The 24,966-nt window shown below is 38.5% G+C and overlaps 1 long non-coding RNA gene across 1 annotated transcript, besides 1 other annotated feature; it reads left to right on the forward strand.

Annotated features, from left to right (window-relative positions):
• Positions 1-1,295: 1,295 nt before the first annotated feature.
• On the forward strand, positions 1,296-24,966 carry RFX3-DT (RFX3 divergent transcript). The gene is made up of 5 exons (NR_121586.1): positions 1,296-1,618; positions 4,684-4,855; positions 7,621-7,858; positions 24,047-24,169; positions 24,714-24,966. It is a non-coding gene; the product is annotated as an RFX3 divergent transcript (long non-coding RNA).
• Positions 7,352-8,551: an enhancer, noted in NCBI's record as "CDK7 strongly-dependent group 2 enhancer chr9:3674142-3675341 (GRCh37/hg19 assembly coordinates)". NCBI's record gives its function as "activates an origin of replication core promoter dependent on BRD2, BRD4, P300/CBP, MED14 and CDK7 cofactors, with strong dependence on CDK7, by STARR-seq in HCT116 cells {active_cell/tissue: HCT116}" and the evidence as "EXISTENCE:reporter gene assay evidence [ECO:0000049][PMID:35650434]".

Here is a 24,966-nt window from a genome sequence, read left to right on the forward strand (position 1 = left end):
AGAAATCCTTATAACATTCTTAGAATAAACAGTTGAAAGTGTTTCCTCTATGATCAGTAAGAGGGCAAATGTACTCTCTTTTCAACATTATGCTTTTTAACATAACTTGCTGGTGTAGCAAAGCAAGAAAGAAAATAAAGGATTGGATAAGTGCCCATCAACTAACGAGTGGGTAAAGAAAATGTGGTATATATACACCATGGAATACTATTCAGCAATAAAAAGAAATGAAATGTCTTTTGCAGCAACTTGGGTAGAGTTGGAGGCTATTATTCTAAGTGAAGTAACTCAGTAACAAAGATCGCATGTTCTCACTTATAAATGGGAGCTAAGTTAAGAGAACACAAAGACATAAGAATGATGCAATGGACTTTGAGGCCTTGGAGGGGAAGGTTGGGAAAGGGGTGAAGGATTAAAAAAACTACATATTGGGTAACTGGAGAAGTATCCTATGAACATATATATTGGAAACTGAAAATGTAATTATTCAAATTATAATTCTTTCAAAATTTATATATAGATTCAATGGAATCTCAATGAAAATCTCAACAGATTGGTTAATGGAACTAGATAAGCTGATTCTAAAATTTTATTTTTAAATATAAAAGGCTAAAAATAGCCAAGATTTTCTTAAAGATGCATAACAAAGTCGGGATTCATTCTATATGATATCCAATGAGTATGGCATCCAATGAGTATAGACAAACAGGGCAGGACAGAGGGAGTGAATGAACAGACACACATATATTTGGACACTTGAATGTGGATAAAAGAGGCAATGTAGGAAGGAAGGGAAAAGATAGTCTTTTCAATAGAAGGAACTGGATCAAAGAGATATTCAATGGAAAAAAAGAACGAAATTTTACCTCTTCCTCACAACATAAGTAAGTTAATTATTACAGACGAATTATAGACCTAAATGTGAAAGGCAAGACAACATCGTTTCCAGATGATAATATAGGAGATGTCCTCATGACTTTGCATTAGTGGAAATGTTATAAACCTACACCCAGATGCCTGTGCTGATACTGACATGACTTTAATAGTGTGGGAATTTGCCCAGTCTGCACTCAATGCCTGTCTCATCCAACCATCTTTAATAAGTCATCACCATGTGGCTACCCTTTAAGGAGCAACTAGAACCACTAAGACCAAAAGAGAATCCTGACGTCTGGTGAGGTGAAGGAGGAGGGCCCTAGTACCTTTATTTGTGGGTAGAACTGGGCTTCTGTGGCCTGAAAATCTAAGGACCAAACACCAACTTTACAATAAAGAACCTGAACTCTGATAGAAGGGAGACAATGGTTACTTCTTTTCATGGATTCTAAATTCTATCTGCCAGTCACTTTTTGTGTGTGCATTCATTGAGGGTGTACAGAATGGAATTACAGAGGCAGAAAAAAATGAGGTCTCTGCCAAATTGATAGTTTAAAAAACATTTTAGTGGCCTACTTAACTGTAATTTGTTTTAGTTTTAAACAAGAAAAACCTCAGCATGTAAGCAAAGCAGACTGGACTTGAACAGATATGGAATGCAAAGCACACAGGAGAGTCATGGGGATCCTGAAGGGGGATTAGAAGTTGGACAACTTTTTATGCAATGAACAACACTGCATTGGTAAGATATAAAAGCATCATAAAATACTCCTTTCCCTTTCTTCTTCCCCCACCTCCCATCCCTAAAATTTCCTCGACCTTTTCTCTGATGTTTGAAATTCCACCTTGGAGGAGTCTCTTTAGCCGAAGATTTGATTCCTATTACAAATGCAAGGCAAAGCAATGTCATTACCTGCATTTTGATATAAATAACTTAATATGGAAAATAAGTTCTGATGGGAAGAAAGCATGAAGCACTAACAGGAGTGAAGGGATGGTTTCCACGGGGCAAAAAGGCAGGAAAACAAGGAGCAGGACTTGAAGGACAGGTGCTTCGAGAAAAAGTGGAGCAGATACATCTCGGCTTGGAATTAGGCAGACAGATGTGGTTCAGGATTGTGGGGTGTCTTGGGGTAGTAACCAATCAGAGGCTCATTTTTCTCACCTGTAAAGTGGGAATATATACTACCTGCCTTTGCTTAAGGACTAAATAAAATAATTATGTTACAGCACTTGATGGAATGTTAGGCCCAGAGTAGGAGTTAATTAAGCATTAGCTCCTATATAGCCCAATTGTTTTGTTTTCTTTTTTAACCAAGACCAGTCTCTTTCTGAGTCAATTCCTTTGCAATATCTTACATCTATCTATGCACTTAAATGCTTTCATTGATGTATGGCTATTGGATGACTTAGGAAAACATTCTTTTTTATTTTTATTTTTGAGACAGAGTCTTGCTCTGTCGCCCATGCTGGAATGCAGTGGCGCAATCTCGGCTCACTGCAACCTCTGCCTCCCGGGTTCAAGCAATTCTCTGCCTCAGCCTCCAGAGTAGCTGGGATTACAGGTGGACCACGCCCGGCTAATTTATTTTATTTATTTATTTATTTATTTATTATTATTATTATTATTATTTTTTTTTTTTTTTTGAGACGGAGTCTCGCTCTGTCGCCCAGGTCGGACTGCGGACTGCAGTGGCGCGATCTCGGCTCCCTGCAAGCTCCGCCTCCCGGGTTCACGCCATTCTCCTGCCTCAGCCTCCCGAGTAGCTGGGACTACAGGCGCCCGCCACCACGCCCGGCTAATTTTTTGTATTTTTAGTAGAGACGGGGTTTCACCGTTTTAGCCAGGATGGTCTCGATCTCCTGACCTCGTGATCCACCCGCCTCGGCCTCCCAAAGTGCTGGGATCACAGGCGTGAGCCACCGCGCCCGGCCTTTATTTTATTTTTAGTACAGATGGGGTTTCACCATCTTGGCCAGGCTGGTCTTGAACTCCTGACCTCGTGATCCACCTGGCTCACCCTCACCAAATGCTGGAATTACAGGTTGAGCCACCGTGCCCAGCGGAAAACATTCTTTAGAAAAAAGCAGAGTGAGTTTATCTGGTATTTTCTGTCTCATATTTTTTTGTTACTATCTTTCGGAGGAGCTATCAGGAATCTGAAGAAAATAAAAATATCCTTTTAAATTTTTTCTTACTTCAACTTGACAATGTTTCTTATCTATTTTCCTGATGAAATGTATGGAAATATTGATAAAACTACATCATGATCTGAAATAATGTGAATCATTTGGAGATGACTCAAGGACAAGAATCTTGAGATAGAAGTCTACATCCCCTAAAAGCAATGACACCATTTCTTTGAACAAGGCCAAGACAGAATCTAATTTATTGAAAAGGAACATAGCTATTTCTTTCCCTTTTGGACAGTGGCTTTTAAATATTTTTTTTCCTTACCACAACCCACAGTAAGAAATACCTTTTACATTGTGACCTGATACACACCCATGCATGGTGTATGTGTGTATCTGAAATAATAGCTTCATGGAATAAAGCTTACCCTTATTCAATTTGGTGTACTCTGAAATATTCTATTCTACTCTATTTAACTTTTTAAAATGCTGTTTGAGACCATTATATTGATTTTATGTTCCACACTTCAAACATCACTGCTTAGGGTTTTACTTATTTTGCTTTTCTGAATGGCAACCATCTTGAGACAAGATGGTTTTAAATGCACTTAATTTAGTCCTGTTTTCTTTTCTGGGATATTCCGTATCTCTAAATACAAATATGAAAAGGAGTTTATTAGCTACAATGGAAGGATATTGAGAAAAATCAATATATGATTGCCCCACAATTTAAGGAAACTTTACCATCTTTTACATTCCTGGCCCATTCAAATTCTTTCATTCCTCTCTGTTCCTTTCATATTTTTACCAAAGACTGACTTCCAGTTGTTATTAGGCATAACAGGCTTATTAAACGGAAGAGCGGAGACTAACATTTAATAAGCACCAATTATGTACAAGGTACCTTGCATACATTATTTCTTCCCAATAACTACTCATGGTATTTTTTTATTCATACTGTTATTGCATATATTATTTATTCCCAATAACTACTTATGGTATTTTTTATTTCAGACTTTTAAGCTTATAAGAAAACAGGGATTTAGAGAGATAAAATAACTTACTCAGGGTCAAAAAGTTCAAAAAGCTGGTTTGTGGTAGAGCTGGCCCCCAAACTGAGGCCTGAGTAGGACCAAAATCACTGCAATGTATTTTCGTGTTGTCAACATAAAAACCACAAAAAAGAAAAAAAAAAAAAAGAACAATTAGACTTATGTTTCTAATCTGCTAACTGTAGGAAAGCATGTGTATATGTTTCTCTTTGAATTGTTGTTGCTGTTGTTGTTGTTAGAGTCTCATATATTTACCAATCATTATACAGAACATATGTTGAACTTCCCAACATGTATTATGTGTATACAGTCTCCCCAGCACACTATTTATTCATTTAGAGTAGTCCAGAGCTCATAACCTACTTGCGTAATTTTCCCCACAAGGACTCCATGTTTTCTGTTGGCTTTACAAAGACACTCAGGATTCTAATTTATCTGCATCACAACATTTACCTTTATTAGCCCCCTCAATATTGAAGAGAAAATCAAAATAAAATGCTTTCCTTCATAACCTTTAGTTCTAAGCAGGGCCCATTAGGGATTTTAAAATATTCACTTTTGAAGCTGATTCCTGCATTGGTAGACACTTTGCATGACATTAAATAAGCTTTGCCTGTTCTAGGAGGCAGTGGATTAAACAGTAGTGCATATCACTTGGCTGAAGTGACAGGAATAAAGAACAGAATGCATCCACTCCTCCAGTCTCATTAAGCTGCCTCTTTCTCCTGAAATTGGATTGGGATTCCAGGACACCTCTCAACCTACAGGAAACACTGGATCTAAAGCTGAAACAGGTACCCAGTGCCATTTGAAAAATTAACTGCTCTATTGAAATGTAATCTACATACCATAACCCAGTACAGTTTCTACCCACAACAAAATCCCTGATTCTGGAACTTAAAATGAAAGGAATAATAAACATAAATTTCATGCTTTCACTAGCTTGCACTCAATCAGTCTCGCTTATAATTTTGCTGTCTCCCTCTTTCCCACTCCCCCCTCCCACCCCACTGCCCTTCTACCAGGTGCTCCTCATATACTATATCGACACGTCCACTCTGCTATTTCCACTTACAGGCTTTCAAGAATTCCTTACTGATTATGTTTTATTTCAGGGTAGGGGCAACTATAAAATAGCATCATTATACTTGAACACACAGCTATCCCTGTGTTAGGACAGAATTAGAGGTACACCTGGTGCTTTCTCTCTAGAGGAAAGCAAAGTGGTAAGAACAATGAAATTTCAGGTATAGTCTTGCACATTGCCATTAACAGTGAATATCAAGTGTTTCTTCACAGAGTTTTGAATGGTGGTATGGATGGAGATGAACGCCAGTGTAGTGACTAGGCGAAAGTTGAGATTACCATCGTACACAGGATGCCACAGTGGCACATTGGAATCATCAGTGTTATTTTCTGAGTAATGTCTTCAATGGTGGTGATGTCTTTCTTAAGTTTTGATAGTCCTTCCACTACCTCTCTAGCTCATCCCAGGCTGGCAGACATATAAACATTGTTTAGGATCCAAAAGATCCTGTGAAAAATAGAACAGTTTAACTGTGGTTTCCTCACATTAATTGTGAGCCTATGTGATTCTCAAGTTAGAGTGGGAGATCCCATATGATAGAATGCTCTCCTGGAGATGAATTGATTTGTGTTTTTGACTCCATATGAGAAGGGACATGCCAGATAACCAACTTTGGAACTCACATTTGGGAGGAAGGGTTAAGAGGAAGTCCTGGCACCACTGAAGTGAACTCTACTTCCGGAGGTAGGTGCAGGACACGTGGCCCTGCGGTAATGGTAAGAAGGCCAGTGTACCCAGCAATTACGGGGGACAGGCAACATAGAAGCTGCCTCTTGAAACAAGTTGTCTTTCACCCTGAAAAGGAGGTATCATCAGGCAACTTACGCTTTAGGTTGGAAAAGTGAAAGTTATATAAATCCTGACTATAGATTCCTGAAAGGAAGAGAGGCCATTGGAAAAGCTGAAGAAGAAAAACTATAGGGAACTTTTGGCTGTGATTAAAATGGAGGGAGCTACATCTCTGAAAGGACTGCAGAGGCCTGAATGGGAATCTGCATAGTGAGGCAGTATTTTAGAGTGACCAAGAATCTTCCATGGGCCCGCAAAGGGCAGATTCGCAGTAGCAACACGATGTTTAAGTTGTACTGACATTTTTGGACTACGTAAGACCCAGGATTTTGGGGATAATTTATGGAGACAAGATGTATCTGTTTTCTGTTGCTGCTATAACCAATTACCACAAACTTAGTGGCTTAAAACGATACAAATTTATTATCTTACAGTTCTGTAGGTTTGAAGATTGAACTGGGTCTCACAGGGCTCAAATAGGGGTGTAGTCAGGGCCACATCCCTCTGGAGACTCTAGAGGCGAATCTGTTTCTTTCCCTTTGCAGCAATTGAGGACTGCCCACATATTTTGGCTGGTGACCCCTTCCTTCAGCAGTGAGGCTGAGTCCTTCTTACACTGCTGCCTCTGGTTCTTTTTCTTCTGCCTCTCTCTTCCACTCATAAGAACCCTTTTGATTATATTGAGCTCACTTGGATATTTCTCCCATTTTTAGGTCAGCTGGTTGCCAATCTTAATGCCATGTGCAACCTTAATTCTCCTTTGCCATGAAACCTAATATTCACAGGTTCCAGGGTATAGGAAACACATCTACTGGGAGGGCCTCTATTCTGCCTACCACACAAAGGAATCCAAACAGAGAGATACTGAATTTCCTGGTAATACCGTAGGTAGTAGGTAAGAGTGCAGGCAGGCTAAGGTATAGATTCAGCCCTGGTTCCCAACACTAGCTGCATATATAATCCTGTGAAAGCCTTAAAAATGCAAATGACCAGATTACACCCTCAGACATTCTAATGTAATAGATTTGGTATGGGTTCCAGACATTGTAATATTGGGATACATAGATCTGGATAACCCAGGTGATTTTTATGTGCAGGCAGGATTGAGAATCACTGATTTAGGATGAGGAAGTCGATACCTTAACTCTAGAAGGTGAGGACAGAAATCCAGAGCACTCATGTCCTAGAATTCTGTTCTTTTCTAATTTCCATCAGGTATTTTAGTTACATATCCTGTCCCACTTCTTTAATTTACCTCTAGCTATCAAATTTAATATATGAGCTTTAAGTATTATTAGAAGAAATATATGCTTAGAAAAAATGTTATTCTTAATTGCACTTTATACATTTTAATTTACTCTTCTGATCTGTCTAAACTTGTTTTCCAAAAATTGTTTTAACTAAAAAACTATATCATTAAGAGTTTATCAATAATAGTTTATTTCATGATCTATACCTCGCTCATTTGTAATGAAGAGTTAAACTATGTTTCATTTACCTTAATGAAATCTATTTTCATGTAGCTTCACTCTACAGTGTTTACTTCATAAACACTTCATGGTATTTGAATCGGTTTATGCATTTTCTATTTTGTTACTTTTCTTATTTTATTTCGTTCTTGCATATAAAATTGTTGGTAGTTGCCATGGCAATTCTAATTGATTTCTTTCTGCTGTTTTGCAGGCTTTTAAAAAGATTTGCACAATACATCCTTCATATTGTTATTTTTATCTCTGTAAGTTTGTAATGGCCTCTAAAAAAGAAAGCTGTGTAACAAGAGCATCAGATGTTACTTTGCTCACTGTTGAAGGCGGTGAAGAACAGAAGAAAACTAGGAAGAAAACCAAGCTGGGAAGGGCAATGAAGGAACAGGTTAGAGTTCAAAAGTAAAAGTACGTTCCACACAAAGGAAAGATTTCAGGTACGTGAGTCAGCGGCAATGCAAGGGCAAGAGATGTGCTTTTAGAGAGAATTGAACTTGTCAATGTGACTCAGCTCTGGAAGACCAAAAAATTATGGAGGGAGAGGCAGGAGAGGGAAACCAGGTGAAATGTCACCATTTTCTTTGTTTATCTTCTGGTGGATCTCAAAATCTTCTGTTATTCACATACACACACGAGCATGCACTCATGGAATGCGTCAGTATATCTATTGTCAAAATCAGCTCACAGTCTCATTTCAGTAAAACAGAAATGTGATCCCTCACAAGATGTTGTGTTGCTGATTAACTGCCTTCTTCTAGGAGATGAGCTACAGTGTCATTTTCAGTCCTAGAGATCATAAGAAAAAGAAGAAAGGCTCTTGGGGATCTGAAATGAATTAGATTTGATTTTACAGTTACTGTAAAACTCCAGAAAATTTACATTTGTTTTACTTACACCATATATTTTTTCCAAAAGTTAATCTCTATGGACTGCAGACAAACATGTTAAGTTAAAATAACAAATAACTCTTCTAGAGTAGAAAATGGGTAAATTTTAGACACAGACATGTGCACTAAGATGTCTGCACAATGATTAAAGTTTAGTTGTGAATTTGCCTTTGAGATTCCCATTGGCCAAAGTGAAGAGAAAAGCATGATCAGAATCAAGACTCAAAGTGCCTAGAAGGAAGCATTTGTCAGGTACGCTGGAAAAAAACAATATTTCCAAGAATTGAGATGGAAGAAATTTCTCCAAGGAGAGGATATTTTAATATAATAGACAATGGCCTCAACAATATCCCTGCAATATGAAACAGTAGGTTTCACATAGCCACTTTTAAATATTTTTCATCAAGTGAAGTGAAGGGCATAATGCTGGCACACAACTGAGAAACAGCTATTAAATGAGGGGGAAAAGTTCTGAAGACCAAATATTCTGCTCTTGGATTACCTTGGTGATCAGAAAGTGACTCTATGTGGACAGGACTATGTAGCTAGCATACCTGTTTTAGAGAACACTTGTGCCCCATCCCATTGCATGGCAAAATCAAGAGATTTGATGAGGCTGTACCCTATAACCATTTCAGATCCTCAACTTTATGACAAAGAAACATCACCTCATCCTCATTCACTCAGATGAAAAAAGATCTTGGTGATAGTAAAAATGATATATCTGAGGAACCATTATAAAAATTACATTGCACAGGCTTATGTGAAATATGCAAAAGCTTTGAAAAATAAGTGCCTAGAATAATCCCCCATAAAACTTTTAGATAGATTATTATGACCCTATTCTTCTGGTACAAACATAAATGTGTTTCTGATAAATGTATTTTATTATGTTTTGCTTCATATGAACACCCTATTATAAATTCAGGATGGTTAAAAGCAAACTTTAAGACCTCTCTCTTCCTCTGGCAGTCAGGACAAGGTTTTTTAAACCAAAAACATATGTTTAAATTTAGCTCCACATGTGCCAGCTAGCTATTGACTGAACACTGACATGTGTTTGAGCTCTAGGGATCTCAAATCTCTCTCTGCTTCTCTCCTCAGTTCTCTTACACCACACATCTCTCTCTCTCTTTCTCTCTCACACACACGCACTCTCTCACACATACACACACGCACTCTCTCTCTCTCTCACACACACACACACATGCATACACACACACCACATATTGGGAATTCAGAAATTTAGCAGGTAATAGACCTAGTATTCAGAGCAAACACTGTCCCTGATGAAAAAAACAGTATGGAACGATTCTTGGCAAATTCTGAATACCCCTTGAGCTTGTCTTGTTCATTAGCAAATTGTTTTCCTGTAACTGTTTCTCAGTTATGTACATGACATACCAAAAATAGTGATTTTCTCAATCAGTTGCTTCCTAGGTAAGTAAACATTCCACTGGTGGAGTACTGTTAGCAAATTACAGTGGAAATACAGCTTCGAAAACAGTCTAGTTTTGTTTCTCTTGGTTACTAAATCCTGGGTCAGGTGGCCTTGGTAAGGTGCTTTGCAGGCCGCAATGACGGGGAGCAATTTGACCCAGGGCCCCAGGTGGGACCTTCTAAAATTCAACCCCACACCTGTGAGTTGTGCCTGGCCATGCTTCCCAGGATGATTCCAGCCATTGGCTTCATGGGGCAGGCATACTGAGGCAGGCTCATTCCTGGAGACACAGGACTCCCTGGCAGCCTTGCTACCTCAGATGCTTCTACTCAACCTGTCCTTTTTCTTTCCCCTATACTCAGTGCCAGACTTGCATACGGTCTCCCATTTTCTCTCACACAGACGGTTCTGCCAATAAAACCGTTGCTTGTTTACCTCTGTCCTAGCAGCTATGTCCTGAAGGACCAAGACTGACATAATACACTCTGTTTAGTTTTAAAGGTAAATTGTTTACCTACACTTAAGGAAGTACATCTCCACACACTCAAAGAATGTGGCTCTAAATTAGTCTCCTGCTGAAAATGCCTAACATTGCCACTCAGATTTGGACTCTAGATTGTGACAGATTAAAATTCCTTATAAATGACTTTTTTTCAAAATAAATTCCTAATTCATTCTCTTCTCCAAGAAGCCACAGTGCTTCCTCTAATCCTAAAGTCATCAGTAGACAATCCATCCTTCCCAATAATGCTGAGATTTTGTTTTCTAGAACCCTGCACTCAGATAAATTATACCTATAAATTGTACCAATTAGAATACATTTTGTGGCCTAAACCTCAACCTTTCATTTGATTGGCAATACTGGCAATATATAGCCTTATCTTGTCACCTAAGTGAGAGATCCATTCTGAACTAATGTGGACATGTCAGTATAAGTTGAAGACCACTCAAGGAAATGCAGCCTTTTTGGGTTCTCTGAAGTAAGTAGTAGCCAAACTCTTTTCTCTCTCCTAATTAGGAACCACCTAAAAACAGACAACTGAGTCAGATAGAGGCCAAAAGATCAGCTTTTACATATTCACTAGACCTTGCATCTAGGCCATGGGTAACTATTTGCCCATCCAACCCAAAGTAGTGCAAACAGAAGACCTCTGGCCTAGAGCTCTAGGCCAGAGCATGGCAGAGAATGGTTTATGCATGGAGAGAATGCTGTATGTGGCCAATGGGCAAATTCCAGAGAAAAGGGCAAGTACCATCTGAGAACAGACCGGCTTAAAAACAAAAGCACAGAAGAGGTTTCGTTTGTTCTTGACCTCACAACTGAGATGTTAGTATTCCTTTATTGGGAAGCGAGAGAGAGAGACAGAACGATGCTTCTTAATTCTTTTAAAACCACAGCAATTTTATTTTGTGGGCCATGGTGAAAAGTCAGAGAGAGGCAAATAGCTTGTGCTACAAAACCCCAAGCCCTGATCTGCCCATGGGGAAGTCAGTGGCATTAACCTTTCATGTAAAGGACAGAACGTCACCAGGCCACCTTAGCCATGGGGACAGTCAGGATAGTCATTGCACAGAAAACAAAGTGAACTCTTCTTTCCTTCATTTTATTACTATTCACATGTTTCAGAACAATTCATTCAAGATTCACATAAAGTTAGCTATGGGCTTTTCTAAATAGAGCTCTTACATCTTAAAAATAAATCCAAGGCTTTTAAAACTCTGTAATTATCTTGTCTATTATCTCATCTGCTGCTTCATCTTTCATTCCCTCCCTTGATCTTTTTTATCTGTATGGGGGGTTGCCATTTTTGCATAGCTTTTAAAGCAAATTCTGGATATTTTCAGAGATGGGGGGAGGGGTAGGAGAATAGATATGTCACAATTCATGCTACTTACTCATTTTTCTGGAAATTAACTCCTCAAGCACCTGATGAGTTATAGGCATCTGGGCATTAGATTTTGAATAAGAATTTTAATTTTATTATTTCATCGCTGTGATCACACTTAACAATGAAAATTCTTACAGTTTCCTGAACTATGGTATTTATGCCTTCACTTAAATAACATTTTAAAACTGCATATTTTCAGGGACTCCATTCTTAATGATTTTTATAACTAACTTAGAGTTTAGTGACCTCTGCAAAGTAAATGTACTTTTCTGATGGGGGAAAACGTATAGAAAAAATGTGGTATGTCTCTGAAAGGAAATCCTTTTTGGCTAAAATATTACTTAAGTAGATGTAAATTTATGCGTAGTTTTCTGATTTAAAAAGTATTATATGCTCATGCAAAATTTAGAAATTACAAAAAATATAAGAGAACAAAAAAATATAGTAGAATAAGAATAGTTTTTAAAATTATCATTTGATCCAAGCGTTATTAATATTTTGGTATCTTTCTAGTATTTTACACCCTCCACACACATACAACATTTATAAATTTTGAGTCATACTAAACAGTTTTATATTCTTTTTTTCTCAACGTTATATTGTGAGCATTTTTCTATGTCATTATGTAGACATTAAAATATGTTTTTAATGACAGCATATATAAGAATGAGTCAAGTGTTTTACTAAACCACTCTTAGATATATAACGTTTGTTATTCCAAAAATTTTGCCATTATAAATGATACTGTTATAAACATTTTTATGCAAAGTGTTTTTTTTTTACCATATTGCTTATTAGTGTCATAGGAAATAAAATTACTGTGTTAAAAGGAATAAATATTTTAAAAGCAAAGATCACATGACCAATTATTAACTTACTTTGGGGGACAGTCACACAAAGACACTTCCTTTCTGGTTTCAGAATAATTGGGAAGCCAAATTAATAGCCAGAAGGTTCCTGAGGGGAATGTAGAATCAGGGCGGAGGTGGCAGGCAGTCTTGAAGGATCTTTCATCCTAGTCATGGTGAGGCCTGATAGCTATGACTTCTTCAGTTAAACTGATGTCTTTGTACTAAAATATTTTGTCATCATCAACCTTATTTATATTGCAATCTAGATAGCTGTTGACTTGCAATATTTACCATATTATGAAGCACTTCAAAGCTCTGGATGTGCCCAGATGACTCTGCACAATCCGCAAAGACCTTCATTTGTCCCAGCTTCAGTGACAGCAAAAGGGTCACTGCTTGGCCCTGGGCTTTCAGGAAGAGAGCACACTCCTGTAAACCACTAAGAGAGATGGTCTAGAGCAAGGCACACGGGAGAATTAAGTGTTCATTTGGGAGAACTCAGCATCTAGCCCTCAGGGAAACAGGTTCCCATATCAAAAATTGAAGATGAGAAGGAGATATTGATTGCTTAGATGTAGTTATGATAGCTATTTCTATTGGTTTAAGATAGTTATTTTTATTTTTCCACATGTGACATACATAAATGATTTAATATATGCTCTTGACTATTCTTCTTATGACAGTTTCAGTATGTTTTCATCTCTCTTGGGAGTTGGGGGAGTAGATGTGTATTTCTCACTCTATCTCCGACTCCAACCCTCACCTAAAGGTAGATTTAGAATCAGATGTGAAACCCAATTCAGATTTATATGGAGATTGAACAAGAAACTAGCAGGGAAGAGAGTCTAGAGCTGTTGAGATATGAGACCTTCACTATTGTCTTTACAGTCACATGGATATGTTTGCCTGTCTAAAACGGACACAAGAAAGTCAGGCACCCTGATGTGCAGCTCTTTGGAGGCTAAATTAGATTAATTGGCTCCCTCAATCATTGCCTTCTGGGAGTTTACAGGCTGTGGGAGTATCACTCAACTAGACAGATCTAAAAAATGAAGACAATGAAACAAAATAGTCCACAAATTCCGAAGGGAGCAGATACTTGATGAAGTGAGGACTGTTCAAAATTCACTCAGTTGAAAACTGGGTGACTCATTCCTTCAGAAAATGTTGGTTAAGCATCTAATATATAGTCATAGTAAATTAGATACTCTGAATATTGGGATTAATAACACAGATAGGACCCCTTGTTCTATTCCTTGTTCTTACATTATGATGGGGAGGATAGAAAATAGGCATATAAAAAGGCAGTACAATTTGGAGGAATCATCAGTGCTAGAAGGAAAAATGAAGCCTTGTGAGTGAGTTGAGAGTGATGGGGGTGCTATAATAGCTGGGGAGTCAGAACTGAAGGAAGTGAGAGAGCAAAGCCATTAGGGGGCCCAGAGAAGAGTTTTTCAGGTGGAGGGGACCTCAATGTCAGAGGTTCCGAGACAGGAAGAAGCTTGGTGTGTTTGAGTTGCAGCACAAAGGCCATTTGCATGGACAGAGCAGAGAGAGCAAGGAGAGAATGATTAAAAATGAGATGAAAGACACAGAGGAAACCAGGGCCTTCTAAGCAATGGGAGGAAGTCTAGATTTTATTCTCATTGCTCTATGGGATGTCTCTGGAGGGCATGATCTGAAGAGCAACATAACCTGATACACAATTGGCAAGTATTACTCTGGCTGCTCTGTAGAGGAGCAGGAATAGACACAGGAAGACTATTGGTAGTCCTAGTAAGGATGGAGAGTGACCGGGACTGTGGGGATGCGAGGAGAGATGGAGAATACTCAGGTGGATGATAGGTTTTGAGGCAGTCAATTAAAGATTAATTGACTTAAGATTGGATATGGGTTGTGAAGAAAAGTGAGAACTAACAGGATGACACAGTATTTGACCTGGCGGCTGAGAATGGGAGCACTAGGGAAGAAAAGGTAAAGGATGGAGGGAAAATAAAAGTTCTGTTTTGGACATGTTAAAGTTTAGATCCCTGTTAGACATACAAGTGGAACTCTCCAATAGGCAGAAAAGGTACGTCTGGAGTTTAGAGAAGAGGTCATAGAGAAGGCACAAATTCATGAGTTCTTAGAATACAGATGGTGCCCAAAGCCATAGGACTGGATGCGATAACTTACAGAGAGAGTGTGGGTAGTCAAGAGAGGAGAGGAGAGGAGAGAAGAGAGCTGAGTTGGAAGCCTGGCAGTATGTCAACATTTAAAGGTCCACAAGAAGCACTTCAGGGAGATTAAGAAAGAGAAGTCCAGAGAAGTGACAGTCAGATTTGCAAGATGGAGGTCATTGGTTGGATGGTTTTTTATCCATGTAATTTATACTCCAACCCATGGTTTTTTAAGAGTGACAGAAAAGTTATTAATAATTTTGCCAAGACAATAGGTGTAAGCTGGGACTGTCCTGGGCAAACAAGAACATATGGTCACCCTAGGCTTTGGTGACCCTGTTAAGACTGGTTTCAGCAGAGCTGTCGTGATGGCAATCTAATTTGTGTGGGCTGAGAAGAGAATAAAAGGTGAAGAAAAACGGAAAGCACAGATGACCTTTTGGAAGGAATTTCACGATGAAGGGAGCAGAAAAATAGGACATGGCTAGAGAGGATATGAAATAAAAGTTTGTTTTTAAATGGGAGAGATAACCTCTATGTATGCTAATATGAAGGATCCAGGAGAGATGAAAAATTTAATAGTGCAGGGGAAAAGGAATAGCTACAGAAGGAGAGCTGGGGAATAAGAAAGGGATTCTGCACACAAGTGGAACGGCTGACATTAGATGTGAGTGGATTCAGCCTGTCCATTTTAACGAGGGGAGGCAGACTATGTGGACACAGGTGTACATCGTTGCTAAATTTGGCAGTGGGAAATGAGTTGACGCTTTAGCCAAAGCAAGAGAGATTCCACTTTTTGTGAAATCCTCCTTTCCTTCCCATAAGAAGTCACAGTCTACCCATCTGGGGGCAATTTTCTTCATAGGCGTTAAGAAGAGGTATGTGAGCTATTTCTTCTCTCAGGAAAATGCCCCATCATGGAGCCTTTAATAGTTTACCAGCAAATGTGGAAATTCTCCCAGGTCCAATTTAGATCTGGCAGAGAAGATGAATATTACTAGTCAGTCAGTAACTGCCTGTAACAGATGTTTTTGTTGAATGTTAACATGAACAGTTCTATTTGGCCTTTTCAGAACTGGAATTAAGAAATAAAAGAAACAGCTAAGGGTACATTGAGACCCAGGTGGGAAAAATCCTTTGACCGGAGCCACAAAATAGAATGTCTAGTAAAAGCTTTAACACCCAAGAACTGTGTGACCTTGGGGAAATCACTGTGTCTTAATTGTTTGATCTGTAAGAGGGAGAAAAAGAGTGAATATCAAGCAAAGGCAGGTGTTTGTGGATATATGGACTTTCTACAAACTATTAGTAGGAATTTTAGGAAAATGTAAGCTTTTTGTGGGGACAGCATAAAACAAACCAAGCAAATGAGTATTTCCAACAATTTGATGCCTAAGATTAACTTAGTTCAGATAACTTAGAAAAGAAAACCAGAATTAAATGGTTCAAAATACAAATTGCATTTTTTACAGAGTCAAATCCCCTTGAAAGCAAAGCCTATTTTTTCTCTCTTTTTGAATTAAACTTCCATTTCCCTAGTCAGCCAGTACAGTTGCTTAAAGAAAATTTACTCATCTGAAAAATGGTGTATAAATAGCTATTACCAGAGGTGACTTTAGTTACTACAGACAAGGGCTCACTGCAGTGGAATTACAGTGCAGCTCACCTTTGGTGTTCTCCAGTGTAACAATCACACCTGCTGAGGTTCCGTAGGTAGGACCCAGGCTTTCGCCAATGAGACACTGCTGCTCCTGGCACTTCATGCCACCTCTACATGCCACTGTCACAGTGAGAATTCACCTGGACTTGAAGAAGATCAGTGCTCTGTAAATTGATTGTTTACATTGTTGAAGACAAAGTCCCTAGGAACAGGCTTTTTAAAATGGCACAGGAGCAGCAATTTGTGGATGCTACACTCAAGACAGTTTAAAGAACTGGTTAATGTTCTTAGTTATTGATCTAAAGGACCATTCTGATAATGACTAAGCTCAAACTAGGTGTACCTCCCATCCATTGTATCCAAATCCAGCTTCCCCATTCTTGACAGGGTAAAAGCAAAGGATGCATTGCATAAGCACTTACAGATAAATTCAGCTCATCCTCTTGTGTTGAAAATGCCAATTACTGAGAAACATTTACTATGTGATTATTTACCATCAATAGCATTTGTTTTCTTGTTTTCATTGAAACATATACTTTTTTTTTTTTTTTTTGAGACAGAGTCTCCCTCTGTCGCCCAGGCTGGAGTGCAGTGGCGTGAGCTCGGCTCACTGCAACCTCCACTTCCCAGGTTCAATCAATTCTCCTGCCGCAGCCTCTCGAGTAGCTGGGACTACAAGCACGTGCCACCACTCCCAGCTCATTTTTGTATTTTCAGTAGAGACAGGGTTTCGCCATGTTGGCCAGGCTGGTCTTGAACTCCTGACCTCAAGTGTTCTACCCACCTCAGCCTCTTAAAGTGCTGGGATTACAGGCATGAGCCACTATGGCCAGCCTGAAACATACTTTAAACTTTGCTTTTTTAAAATTAACACAATATAAACTTTGAAGAAATAGAATGAGGAATACAGTATTTCATTTTACATTCTTATTTAGGGTTCAGGTCCAGATGCTTAGAAAACAGTATAGACAACTGGAGCCATTTCCTATGGACATTGACCCACCATTCAGAATCCACCTGTGAGGTACAGAGATAATGATCATTGTGATAAGAACCATCACGGAGTGTAGACAAGGTTATTTTGATAGTTCATAGGCTCTATGCACTCTTACTTTTGGAGACTCTTATCTTTTATTACACATATTAAAATGCTCTCATTCCACATTAAATGTAATATATACATGAGTTGAATGGAGTTGCCCTCAACTAGTTGACCTAATGTCACAATCCAGAGACATTTAATTAAACACTTGTAATTTCAATGTTGCTGTCTTCCTTGCAATATTGTGCGGCCAATAAAATATTTTTAATCTTTCAAACATTTCTGTGGAGGTTGACTCAAACACTTGTTCATTTCAACACTGCAATTTTCTTTTCCTGTTTTTTTGGAGTCAATGATTTTTTTTTTGTTTGTAATGTCATAAACACTTCTATGGGTGCATGAAAAACTTATGGAACTATGTATGGCATGGTGCCTTAGGGCTTAAAAGATAAAATGGCCCTAGATGTTGACAAGGACCTTGGCCTTGAACAATGCCTGAAGCTTTAGCTGTGTCAAATTTAAGAACAAATTGCACTGCAATGTAAATATTTCTCATGGCATTCCACCTTCTCTTTACCAAATCCAATGAAATAATTCTTCAAAACTTTTCATCCAGATTTTGCTTTTCCTTTCTTCTTCCGCAACATTTTTATAGACCGTTATCATGTCAGACACAAACTATTACAATAGACTTTTATTTTGTCTCCCTGCCTGAAGTTCTTTTGTCCTTCAATAGAGGGTGAACAGATTAGCCTTGCTAAATAGTTAAGTATATTTAATTAACCAACTAATTAAATTGACTTGTCTATTTTGTAGTAATTTACTATGAATTTTTGCAGTTTAAACATAAATGTTTGGCTTTATCTAAAATAGCTTCTACGTTTCCAAGAAATCTTTTCTACTTACTTTTCTTTGACTATATTTATCACTTTCTCACCCTTGTTTGTCCATTAATCCAGGCATTCAACAAATATTATTAAGTACCTACAGAGTCTCAGACATCACACTAGTCACCAAGGATTCCGTGATGAATAAGAGCAATACCTGCCTTTTTTATTTATTTATTTTAAATTTTATTTTATCTTATTTTAAGTTCCAGGATACATGTGCAGGACGTGTAGGTTTGTTACAGAGGTAAACGTGTGCCATGGTGATTTGCTGCACCTATCAACCTATCACCTAGGTATTAAGCCCCACATGCATTAGCTCTTTATCCTGATGCTCTCCCTCTGCCATCCCCAACCCCTGTGACAGGCCGCAGTGTGTGTTGTTCCCCTCCCTGTGTCCATGTGTTCTCATTGTTTAGCTACCGCTTATAAGTGAGAACATGCAGTGTTTTCTGTTCCTTTGTCAGTTTGCTGAGGATAATGGCTTCCAGCTCCATCCATGTCCCTGCAAAGGACATGATCTCGTTCCTTTTTATGGCTGCATAGTATTCCATGGTGTATATAAGGTAGTCCTATTTTAGAAAGGGCAAATAATAAAATACATATGTCTGAAATGCCACTGGTTCTTTGATAGAGGTAAGTACAGACTACAGTGAAAACCACAAAGGAAAAATGGTCTATTCTGCCTGATTTGGGGAATAAAGGGGAGGGGAGGGTGGTTCAGGAAAAGCTTATTTCTGGAAAATGTATAATCATCTGCCTGATATACATTTGGGCAAGGGCACTCCAGGCAGAAGTAGTACTATGAGCAAAGGCATCAAGGCAAGAAAGACATTTAAAAAATATTGTTGGCTGGGCACAGTGGCTCACATCTGTAATCCCTGCACTTTAGGAGGCCAAGGCAGGCAGATCATGAGGTCAGGATTTTGAGACCAACCTGACCAACATGGTGAAACCCCATCTCTACTAAAAATACAAAAATTAGTCTGGCATGGTGGCGCCCACCTGTAATCCCAGCTACTCAGGAGGCTGAGGCAGGATAATTGCTTGAACCCGGGAGGCAGAGGTTGCAGTGAGCCGAGATCGCACCACTGCACTCCAGCCTGGGTGACAGAGTGAGACTCTGTCTCAAAAAAAAAAAAAAATTGTTGAATTGATGACTTTGTTTTTATTAAAACCAAAGCATTAAAATTATAATGTTTTTTATTAAAAATAAAATATTTGGATAAAATAATGTTGAGTTCTAATATACTTATTTTTCAACTTTTCAATATTTTTTCAGTTACTTTAATATTCTGGAAAACAACCATTTTAAAAACACATAAAAACATGGCTCTAGGAACATACATTTTTACTTTTGTCTCAAGCTCCAATATGGCTTGGCACAGCACTGTCAGATCTTATTTTTATTTAAAATTTTGACATTTTGTTCATCATGGATCTTTTGCATTAATTCTGATTTTTAAAAAATGTTTCATTAAAAAGTTAGTCATCTTAGTTACTGAGTTTTCTAAGGCCACCTAAATTTCATACTCAAGGCGAGTGCTTCCTTTGTCTTCCCCTAATCCCAGGCCTGGAAAAAGCCATCATATCAATGTTTTAAAGATCACTTTCTTATAGTGATGAGTACGGGTTGCTAAAGACTTTGGTGGTTAAAAACCGAGAAATTGAGGGAAATTCAGTATCTATCATAATAGTTTAGGTGGAAAACCACAGAGGCTTGAACCAAGGCAAGAAAGGAGACAAAAAAGTAAGTAGGGGTAAGAGAGGTGCCAGGGGTGAGAGTTAGGGAGAACTTGATAAAAATTGGATGCATGGGAATGTTCTCTCTCCTGAGATTCATGCTCCAAATTCTGATTATGAAAGCCCAACAGAGTCACCTTCCTTCAGGAATTCTTTTTAGCTCATTTCATACCTTTCTCTGTGGCAAACTCTTCCTTCTTCATGTTTTATTTCTTCAACTACATTATAATCTCTTTGCCGTGAAAGACCATATCTCATATTTCGCTGTTTCTCTTACTATGTTATAAACACAGTAGATGCTCAATAAATACCTGTTGAAAGAACTGCATCATCAATGTTTTTTAACATCGCTCCAAGGCAGTGCCCGTAATAATTAAGCCAACAGAAGAAGAGTTTGAAACTTCTTCCTTGGATATATTTTTAAGGTTAGAATACTCATTTATCCACCCAAGATGGCATAAATGACTTTTTAGGGCCCTTTGCAAGACATGATTAACAGCCCTTTTCTGAGAAGAGTTTTATATATGTTACTGCTAATAGCAAGAGAACTTCTCCTGGGGCCATTTTCCCTTTTATGTGATTACACTGATATTTTAGAGAAAATGAAATTACTGCATCCCAGCTGGGCAGTTCTTTTTGAATTTATAAAATGCAGAAATTGCTATAAGACCATAAAGTTGAATCAGGTCTCTTATCCAATCATCAATAGATAATTTTGGTTTTTATAACCCATCTTATAAAAGTTCTACTGTGGTTACCAAAGTCAAAAATTTGACATTAGTGTTGCCCTTGGCAACTGAATGCAGAGATTTCTCTGGAAATTATTCCAGTTATAGTAAAAAGATAATTAACACTTAGTTACAGAAAAATCTGAATTTAATGTATCTGAGTGTAGCTTTATCAGATTTCCTCTTATGGTGATATCTTGATACATTTTACCAGAAATTACAATTTTTATTATTCATTATTATCACTATTATTTTGAATGAGGGGGTTTCAGTAATGCTCTACAGGGACTAGATCAGTTCTGTGTATACCCCTCGTATTCTGCCTTTCACCTTCTGAATGACAGACATAATGCTGGAAGTGGAGCAAGAACTTGACGCAGGGGTGAAGTGCTGCACCAGCTTGGATGATCTGAATCTAGGCTTCTGATTTTGTGGAAAAAACAAAATCATTAATATGTTCAAACTACTATTGTTCCATTTTCTACCTTTCAGAGCTAAATATAATATCAAACTGATAACAAAATTTGGTATCTCGAAGGGGGATGCTTTCAGTAATCCTAAAATGTGAAACTGAAATTGTGGGAGAAATAGAAATGGGGCTTTGGGTAACAAGCACCTAGAGACTTTAAGTCAGAAAGCTGGTGATATTTGTTAAGTAGTGGCAGAACATTTGATTTAATTGCTGCCTGCTTTACTGGTAATGCAGGTAATCGGCTAAATGAGGTTATACGATAAGGAGAAATGATGGCAAAGATTTTATATATGGGTATGTACTAGCTCTACTACCTTCAGACAAATCTGACTGAAGAGATGACACCAGACTAGAACTACTTGAGCTACAAGCAGAGAAGGGAAGAAACGCCCCATCTTTATTTTTATTTATTTATTTATTTTTGAGATGGAGCCTCACTCTGTCTACCAGACTGGAGTGCAGTGGCATGATCTCGGCTCACTGCAACCTCTGCCTCCCAGGTTCCAGCAATTCTCTTGCTTCAGCCTCCCAAGTAGCTGGGATTACAGGCGCCTGCCACCATGCCTGGCCTAATTTTTGTATTTTTAGTAGAGACAGGGTTTCGTCATATTGTCCAGGCTAGTCTCGAACTCCCGACCTCAAGTGATCCACCCGCCTCGGCCTCCCAAAGTGCTGGGATTACAGGCGTGAGCCACCATGCCCAGCCGAAACACCTTTATTTTCTAAAGAATCTTTCCCTGACTTTTGTCTACAAGTTATGGTGAAAAGAGTCCTGAAGGCAATTGGTTCTGTCCTTCAAACTTGAAGCAATTATGAATGGTGATTGACAAATAGTAGCCTACATACTGGTGCTCCACTGGAAGAAGGCACAGAGCCTGCCAGTAGTGATGGGATCCGGGATGTTGCTTCCCCCTGGGAACTGATTGTTTCTAACTGCTTCTGGACAACAGCCATTGAATCCAGGGCAAGAAAGAAGGGCAGAGCATGGAGTCGTGAACATGAAAGAGGAGGTTCCTGAGACTTGAAATCCACATCTGGATAACATCTTTGACTATTATTATTATTATTTACTTTTTTTTTTTTTTTTTCCAGATGGAGTTTCGCTTTTGTTGCCCAGGCTGGAGTGCAATGGTGCGGTCTCTGCTAATTGCAACCTCCGCCTCCTGGGTTCAAGTGATTCTCCTGCCTCAACCTCCCAAGTAGCTGGGATTATCACAGACGCCCGCCACCACGCCTGGCTAATTTTGGTATTTTTAGTAGAGACGGGGTTTCACCATGTTGACAAGGGTGATCTTGAACTCCTGACCTCAAATGATCCACCCGCCTTGGCCTGCCAAAGTGCTGGGATTACAGGCATGAGCCACTGCGCCCAGCTGACTGTTATTTTTAAATGCGGACTTTACCAGGAGCAAATAAAGCAAAACTGTTCTAAGTTTAAAGGGAAATATATTTCCAAGGAAGTTTCTTCTCCCTAAGACTGTCCCCAGATTCTCTATGATTAGTAAACCCCTAAAATAGTCCCTGGTTACTAAAAGCACACCAATAGCAAGTTGGTTTTGAATGCTGTGTAGCCCTAGGAAGAGCATCTTTACCAAGCAACATCGGAGGGGAGAGCCAGAAGGGGAGGGGAAGAGGGACTCCGGTAGATCCTTCCAGAGAGAATAAACAAATTCAGCCAGATCGGCCAACCAAGGAACTTACCCATGACAAGATAGGAAGCCTTTGCTACTCTTGTCAAGCAGAATGGCCTAATTTCTATGATGACTGTGTGCTTTAATAACTGATGACTGTGCACTTTCCAGCCTCTTTTCCAAATGGGCGCTTATTATGGTAGTCCTGCTTCTTCTCCACTATTGTACATGGAGGGCAGACCAATTTTCCTTTGGTTTATAGGCTAGCAGACCCATAACAAACCAAACAAACAAACAATTTTCCATTTGTATCTGATGGAAAGACTGCATATCTCCCACAGTACCTACATTTTAAGCTGGATGCAAGAAATGCAAGAGCCTTTGAGGTTATCTCACTTGGAATGTTCTTTGGAAAGAAACTTGGGCTCTGATAAATGCTTAACAACCAGCTGAGATAGGGTTGTGTAGAACACACACACACACACACACACACACGCACACGCTATATATTTATTATAAATGTTGCTGATATAAAGGATGTGTATCTCATAACTTACAAATAATAATAGTAATATATACAGTACTCTTTATTGTAAACTCCTTATGACCAATTGATTCTTACAGAATGTGTTTTTTGACAAAAAAAAATTGCAAATAAGTGTAATTCCCACATGAATGATGGTTGATATGTTTGTTTTTATGAGTAAGATGAAAATGAAGCAATGAAGATGTAATGAAGAGTATGTCAGAATTTATTTATTCAATGATGAAAGCAACTTTTTTCAGATCCTAGTTGTCAAATACTGAAATAATGTTTCCTCGATTTTTGGTGCTACTTACCATATAGAGGCTATTGTCATAATATACCTTTAGTTTAATTTACATTAGTAATATTTTCTTTATGATTAAGTCTAGACAATTAATAAACAGAAAGATCAAGCCCTGATTTAGAGTATTTGCTGAATCCTGTGGTGTAAATACTCCCACCATGGCTGATTTCAAGATACCAACATGATGTCAATGAAGGTGGAATTGGATCAAATGCATTTTATCACATCACTTTGAAGTATCTCCATTATACAGATATGACACATGCAACTTCAAGATCATAGATAATAGAAAAATGTGGTAAAATAATTAAGAAGTCATGAATTTTGAGTATATATCACCTTTGTTTTAGATGCCATTTATTTAACTGTAAATGTATATAATTTTGTTTATTTATACTTTTTCAGAGAGAAGGCTTTGCTCTGTTGCCCAGGCTGGAATGCAGTGGTGTGATCATGGCTCACGCAGCCTTGAAATTCTGGGCTCAAATGATCTTCTTGCCTCAGCCTCTTGAGTAGCTGGAATTACAGGTGTGCACCATCATGCCTACCTTATATATTAATTCTTAATAATGGCTATCTCTAACAATCAACTCACAAAATGTCTGAAATTGTAACAGCTGGCATTTGTGAGCTGGTACAAGCCTTATTTCCATACCACTAGAAATAAGGGTACATCTGAATGACAGGTAACCAAGGGGGTAGATTGTGGCAAACCATGCTAGTTGCCTGCCCAATAGTTATCCTTCTATTTTTCTTGACTAATAATAGTGGATGAAGTATATGTCAGGTTAAAAAATGATATTTCTTAGCCTTCCATGCAGATAGGGGCGGCCTTATAACACATCTCTGCCTAATAAAATAAATTATTGATGTTGAGTGAGACTTCCTTAAAATCTCCTTAAAAATGGGCAGGAGGAAACAGACATGTGCTTTTTGTTCTTTTCCCATTCCATTTCTGTCGGTCATATTAGGCTAATGCTAATTAGCTACTGCTAATGCTGCAGTGAAAATTTAATTCCCAAATGTCAGCGACTTAACACAACAAAAGTTTCTCACTTCACTTCCATTGCAGGTTGCTGGGGCAGCTCTGATCCACATACGACTTAGGGACCCAGGATGCAGCTGCTTCAACATCTTGTAGCCGTACTATCTGGAATACATGGGCTGCCAGTTGTCATGACTACTCTCCTATGTTCAGCCCAAAAGCTAAGCACTTTATTTCTTCATATAGCCCATTGGCCAGAATTATTCATATGTCTCACTACAGGATGGGCCGGGAGTGTACCTTCATTATGTAGGAAAAAATAAAACATAATCGTGAGAAT

This window comes from Homo sapiens, chromosome 9 (genome assembly GCF_000001405.40).
Source record: "Homo sapiens chromosome 9, GRCh38.p14 Primary Assembly".
Classification (NCBI taxonomy): domain Eukaryota; kingdom Metazoa; phylum Chordata; class Mammalia; order Primates; family Hominidae; genus Homo; species Homo sapiens.